Raw genomic sequence first — 6,157 nt, 5'->3', positions numbered from 1 at the left:
CCACCCCCCGCCCCCGCAGGAATAACAATGACCTGAGGGCATGTAATACAGTTAGGTGCCATTTTCCGTTCAGCCATCAAATATTTATTGGGTTCCAAGTCCCTGTAGGGCACCAGGGCTCAGAAATGGATACGTTCATCCCTGCCTGCAAAGGGTCTGTGGTTGAAGAGGACAGATGAGGACCGCGCCACGTGGCAGATGCACAGATAAGGACAATGCCCACGTAGCAAATGGGGGAGCCGAGGAGGTGGTGGGAATCCAGAAGGGGCACCATCTCCAGCCAGGAAGTGGGGGAGCTGTTGAGCAGAACCCTCCAGCCCTTTGCTGACATCTGCCTGGGCTGCCTCCCTCTGCCCTCTGCAAACATCATGTTTCCAGGAAGCCCGCCCAGACCACAGCCTTTCCTACTTTCCCCTTCTGGGGAATTCCTGCAGCCTTGGGCCCCCACCATGGAATTGAACATCTGCTGTCTTTATTGCTTCTGTTTTTGGTGCAAGGGACCCACCTCCACAGTTAGACTGCATCCTCTAGAGAGTACAGCCTCAATTGCACATTCCTCAGAGACCTCTCCTTCCTCCAGGGCCCCAGTGCCTAAGTGGCCCTGCCCAAGATCAGGATGCACCGCATCTCTGCTGATGTTCAAGTCTGGGGGTTCTTTGTTTGCAGCACCCGGGCTGAGCTGCAGAGGAGATCCTAACTGCTGAGTCAGGGGCCCCGATTTGCCAAGCAGGATTGAGTTTCATTAAGTGGGGATGAAATACAAATCCCCCACCGCATTCATGGGATTGATGTCCAAGACGCAGCTGCCATTTGTGTTTTCAAATTTGCAGTTAGGGATCATTGTGAAACTTGATTGCTCTGTCTTGGGGATTTTCTTAAAGTCCAACTCCACAATAAAGCCAATCAGATGGAACCATCAAATGTCAAATAGGAGCTAATGAACCATTCACAGGCTTGGGAAAGAAATCAGGCAATCTCTTATTTCAGGATTATCCCTTCCAAATATTGAATCTGAACTGTAAGCAGAATTTTCTATAATTGCATCCCCCTCCTCACGGGTGTGGGGATCATTGGCATTCACTTCATGTCTCTGTTTTCTGGAGAGAGGCTTGACAAGCCGACCCGTGGCTTTCCAGAGACTCACGTTCCTGGGGGCATCGTTCTGAGAGGGAGGCAGGGCAGAGGTTGCTGGGATTCCTTCTCTCCACGGGCTGGGCATGCCCAGAGCTTGCTGGCAGCCTCCACAGGAGGTGGGAGAGGGAAGTCTGAGGCCGGGGAGGGGGATCCCCTCACATATGTCCCACCGGGTACTTGGGTGTGGCCTCAGGAGGGGAGGTGGAGTCCAGGAACAATGTAATGTGTCTAGTCTCTATCTCTCTCTCTGCTGCGTTAACTCTGCAACGACAAGCATCTTTGCAGCAACTTAGTGTAGACTAATGCCTGAGCACATGTGCTATTTTTTGGTGCCTCTTTGACACATCTGGCAGGTGATTCGGGTTATGATGAAGGGTTTGCCATCACTTCTGCCTGCGGCAGTGCTGTGATGCAGAAAAATCTTACTCTGATCCTCATTCCTTTAGGAACTTAGGGTAGCACCAGGTGGGTCACTCCCTGCAGCAGAGATGGCTGATTGTCCATCAAAGTTGATCTGCCCTTCCAAACTAAACAGTTGTGGCTGGAAAGCAGCTGTCTGGCTGGGGACTTGAAGGTAGGCTTAGTCATGTGACTGGTTTTCATCAGCAGAATGTGAGAGGAAGTGATGTGTGCCACTTGTAGCTCAAGGCTCTTAAGAGGCCACGTGCCTCCTCCATTCTTATTTTCCCCTTTTATTGAGTGGTTTCCTGTGATGACAAGGCTCCTCAGGTGGCAGGAGCCAGGGTTCCTGAATCAACATATTTGGGCTGGAGATCGTGGTAGACAGAGTGCATTAAATGCTTCTGCATCTCACTTCTCCTTGTATCTGTGTCTATTGTCATGTGGACTTGGAGCCCTTCCCATAAAGCTGGAGTACACTGGCCAAAGCAATGGCGTATGTTCTCCATTGCAATAAAATGAGGCAGAAGCAATGGTGTGTCATTTCCAAGGCTAAGTCACAAAAAATCCTGCATGTTTCTGCCTGTTTGTTGCATCTCTGCCATCTCCACAGGAACATTCCTGACTGTTCTGCTGGAGATGGAAAGACACAGGATGGAGCCAAGTCACTCCAGTTGTGCAGCTCAGCTCAGCCTTTAGCCAGCAACCCAAGGCATGGGAGTGGGTGCAGGGAGATCAGCAGAGTATCTAGCCAAGCCCTATCTGACCCTGGATGCCTGAGCAATAAATACGATTGTGTGTGCCACTGAAACTTTATGGTTGTTTGTTACATGGCATTAGGACAATAGATGACTGATACAGCAGTTTACCGACCAGGAATGAATCCATGCCTCAGACTGTTAGGTGCGAGATATTTGCACTGTGACTGAAGGGTTGTATATTTCGGAGTGGATTTGTAATAGCAGTTTCTTACCCTGGTTCACGTGCCCCACAACTACTCCCTCATTGCTTCAGGATGGAGGGACCACAAAAATCTGGCCCCTGAATGCCGTCTGGCTCCATCTGGCACGTCTCTCCCCTTTTCTTTCTACATCCTAGTTGCATTGGATTTCTTTTAAGCCCCTGAATGCCCAAGAAGTCTCCATCATTACGATCTCATTCTCTTTCCCCTGCTTAGAATGCCCCCTCGCCACATAACACAGCTAGCTCTCTGCTGAACGTCCCTCCTTCCAGCAAGCTTACCCCAATGCTAGGAGGAGGTCAGCCCCCAAATAATATGGTCCCAAATCCCTCTGCACTTCCCAGTGGCACTCAGCTCCTTTGAGATTCCTAGCCCAGGTATGCCTTCTCCATTGCAAGGCAGGATCCCTGTCCGATGTGCTCATGGTGTGTCTCTCCCATTGGGCACAAACCCGGCACACTGTGCATGCTCAGTGAGTATTTCTTGAATAAATGGGCTGGTGTAGGTGACATTTTCCAGAGTAGAGTTACTCAGCTTTTTCAGTGGAACACCTCTGAGCTTACGAGGACTCATTGGGTACCTGGTTGTCCTCCAAATACATTGTCCAGTTGCATGTTCATGCCCCTCCCACCTTCCCCCTGAGCTCAAGTGGCCACGTAGAGCGTGGTATGGACTCTGCAGCCTGCCTGCCTGGAACCAGATCCTGGCTCTACTCCTTACTGATTGTGACACTTTGGACAAGGTTTTGAATGCCTCTCCATCTATAAAATGGGGATTTAGGAGGGTGTCCATCTCATAGCCCTGTTTCTCATGGGGCTGCTCTGAGAAATAAATCAGTTAATATATGTAAAGCACATACACAAAACCTCATGTAGTAAAAGCTATAAAAGTATAAGCTAGTACTATTCAAGGTTAAGGACTAGATAGTATTCATTTTTGTATCCCCCCAAATGCTTAACCCAGTGCTGGCAAAAAGAATGTGGTCAGGCCAGGCATGGTGGCTCACACCTGTAATCCCAGAACTTTAGGAGGCCGAGGTGTGTGGATCACGAGATCAGGAGTTCAAGACCATCCTGGCCAAGATGGTGAAACCCCGTCTCTACTGAAAATACAAAAATAGCCGGGTGTTGTGGTGGGTGCCTGTAGTCCCAGCTACTCGGAAGGCTGAGGCAGAGAATTGCTTGAACCCGGGAGGCAGAGGTTGCAGTGTGCCGAGATCGTGCCACTGCACTCCAGCCTGGGCGACAGAGCGAGACTTGGTCTCAAAAAAAAAAAAAGAAAGAAAGAAAAAAGAATGTGGTCAATAAATGTTTTATTTTTTTATCTTCTTTTGCAGTCCAGAAGCCTTTTTTATTTAATACCTATTATGACATGAAGCATAGGGAATAGGTTCCAGCAGCCCAGACCCCATTCCACTGGCTCTCACAAAGTGTGCTTCCCTGGGTGGAGCAGGCTGGCGCTTCGTTAAACACAGGTATCTTATTCTTTGCCTTCCTTCTTTTTCTAATCATTTTCCTTCATGCATTTCTGGTGCCTAATATGCTCAATATGCACATTAATTCTCTGGTCCTTAACTTGTTTGTTTACAACAATGCTAACAGCGTACTGGGGGACACTGTAGACTTTCTGGTTTTGCCATGGTAACATTTTTGGGGCATTCCCATTTTTTAACAGTGCGTATTCCCTTGATGTCTACAGTATCACAATTTTTTGTAGAGTCACATGTATGTGGCCAAAGGAACAACTCCATGTTTTCTTTCTTTCCTTTTTTTTTTTGGAGTTGGAGTCTCACTCTGTCACCCAGGCTGGAGTGCAGTGGCGCAATCTCTGCTCACTGCAATCTCTGCCTTCCGGGTTCACGCCGTTCTTCCGCCTCAGCCTCCCGAGTAGCTGGGACTACAGGCGCCCACCATCACAGCCAGCTAATTTTTTCGTATTTTTACTAGAGATGGGGTTTCACCATGTTAGCCAGGATGGTCTCGATCTCCTGACCTCGTGATCTGCCCGCCTTGGCTTCCCAAAATGCTGGGATTACAGGAGTGAGCCACCGCGCCCGCCAAACTGCATGTTTTCTAAAAGGCCTGGAGAACATGGCAGATGTCCCTGCACCTTCCTTTTGTGTTCTCTGGTGTGTTTGTAATTCCACACCTGGACGAGTGGACAAGCAAAGCCCTGAGGCAGCAGCCCCATGTGATTCTAGGAGTGGCCCATTCCACTCATGGGCCCACTCTTTCCTGGAGGACAGTCACTGCGGACTGATGGTTTCCAGCATGTGTTTGGGCCAGAGGAACTTAGTTTCAGTTCTAGCTTAGCCACTCCCTAACCATGCTGGCTCTCAGTTTCCTCACCTGTAAAATGGGGATAATGATTGTACCTTCTTCTTAGGGTTGTTTTAGTGGGTAAATGAGGTAAGCATTCAGCCCAGGACTGGCATAAGAAATAAACAGATACTTATTAAACATAAAACAAAGTAAAGAAGACTGTCCAGGTATTTTGCCCCAAGGTGATATATTTGTTTTGCGTGGAAATCTGTAGTGTGAAGTAACAATACCAAGGTAACACTTACATAGCACTTACTAAGTGCCAGACATGGTTCCAAGAGCTTTAACTCTATTAACTAATTCCTTCCTCAGCCCTATGATGCGGGTATTATTATCTATTATCATCTTCATTCTACAGATGAGGAAACTGAGGCACAGAGAGGTCTCACTTAGAAATTTCCTGGGAGGCTCCATTTGGATGCAGGTTGCTCAGCAAGGGGGCAGGTTGGTTTGGGATGAGAGAACTCACTGTTATCATCTGGTGGAGCATCCTAGTATATACCCCAACATCTGGGAAACCACCTCCCAATAAGGTGAATATTCTTTTTTAAATTAAAAGTTAAGAACTCCTATTCTTCAAAAGATGCTATTAAGAGAATGAGAAGACAAGCAACAGAATGGGAGAAAATATTTTGCTAATCACATAGCTGATAAAACAATTAGGTCCAGAATGCATGAACAACTCTTAAAAGGCAATAACAAGAAAACAATAATCACACTAAAAAAAAATGAGCAAAAGATTTGAGCAGACACTTCGACAAAGAAGATAAATGGATGACAAATAAGCACATGGAAGGCACATCAATCCTCATGGTCTTAATGCAAATTAAAACCATACTGAGATACTGCACACCCACTAGAATATTAAAATTAAAAAGTCCGACTACGCTCTACACTGAGAGCTGGCAAGAATGTGGAGCATCTGGAACTCTCATACAATGCTGATAGAACATCAAATGGAACAACCACCTTGGGAAACAGTTTAGCAATTCCTTAAAAAGTTAAATTTAGACCTACCTTATGATCCTAGCCATTTCTAGATAAATCCTCCTAGGTTTCTCTCCAGGAGAAATGGAAGGACATGTCCACACAAAGACTGGTGCATGAATGTTCACAGCCACTTTATTTGTAATAGCCCATCAAGTAAATGGATAAACAAATTTTGGTATATCCATACGATGGAATACTACTCAGTAATAAAAGAGAACATGCAATAACATGGATGAAACTCAAAATAGTTATGCTGAATGAAAAAAGCCAGGCAAAAAATGAGTAGATGTCTGATTTTATTTATATAAAATTATGTAAAATGCAAACCAACCCATACTGAGTGTATTAGTCT

This window comes from Homo sapiens, chromosome 1 (assembly GCF_000001405.40).
Source record: "Homo sapiens chromosome 1, GRCh38.p14 Primary Assembly".
Lineage (NCBI taxonomy): Eukaryota > Metazoa > Chordata > Mammalia > Primates > Hominidae > Homo > Homo sapiens.
This window is presented reverse-complemented; position numbering follows the sequence as displayed.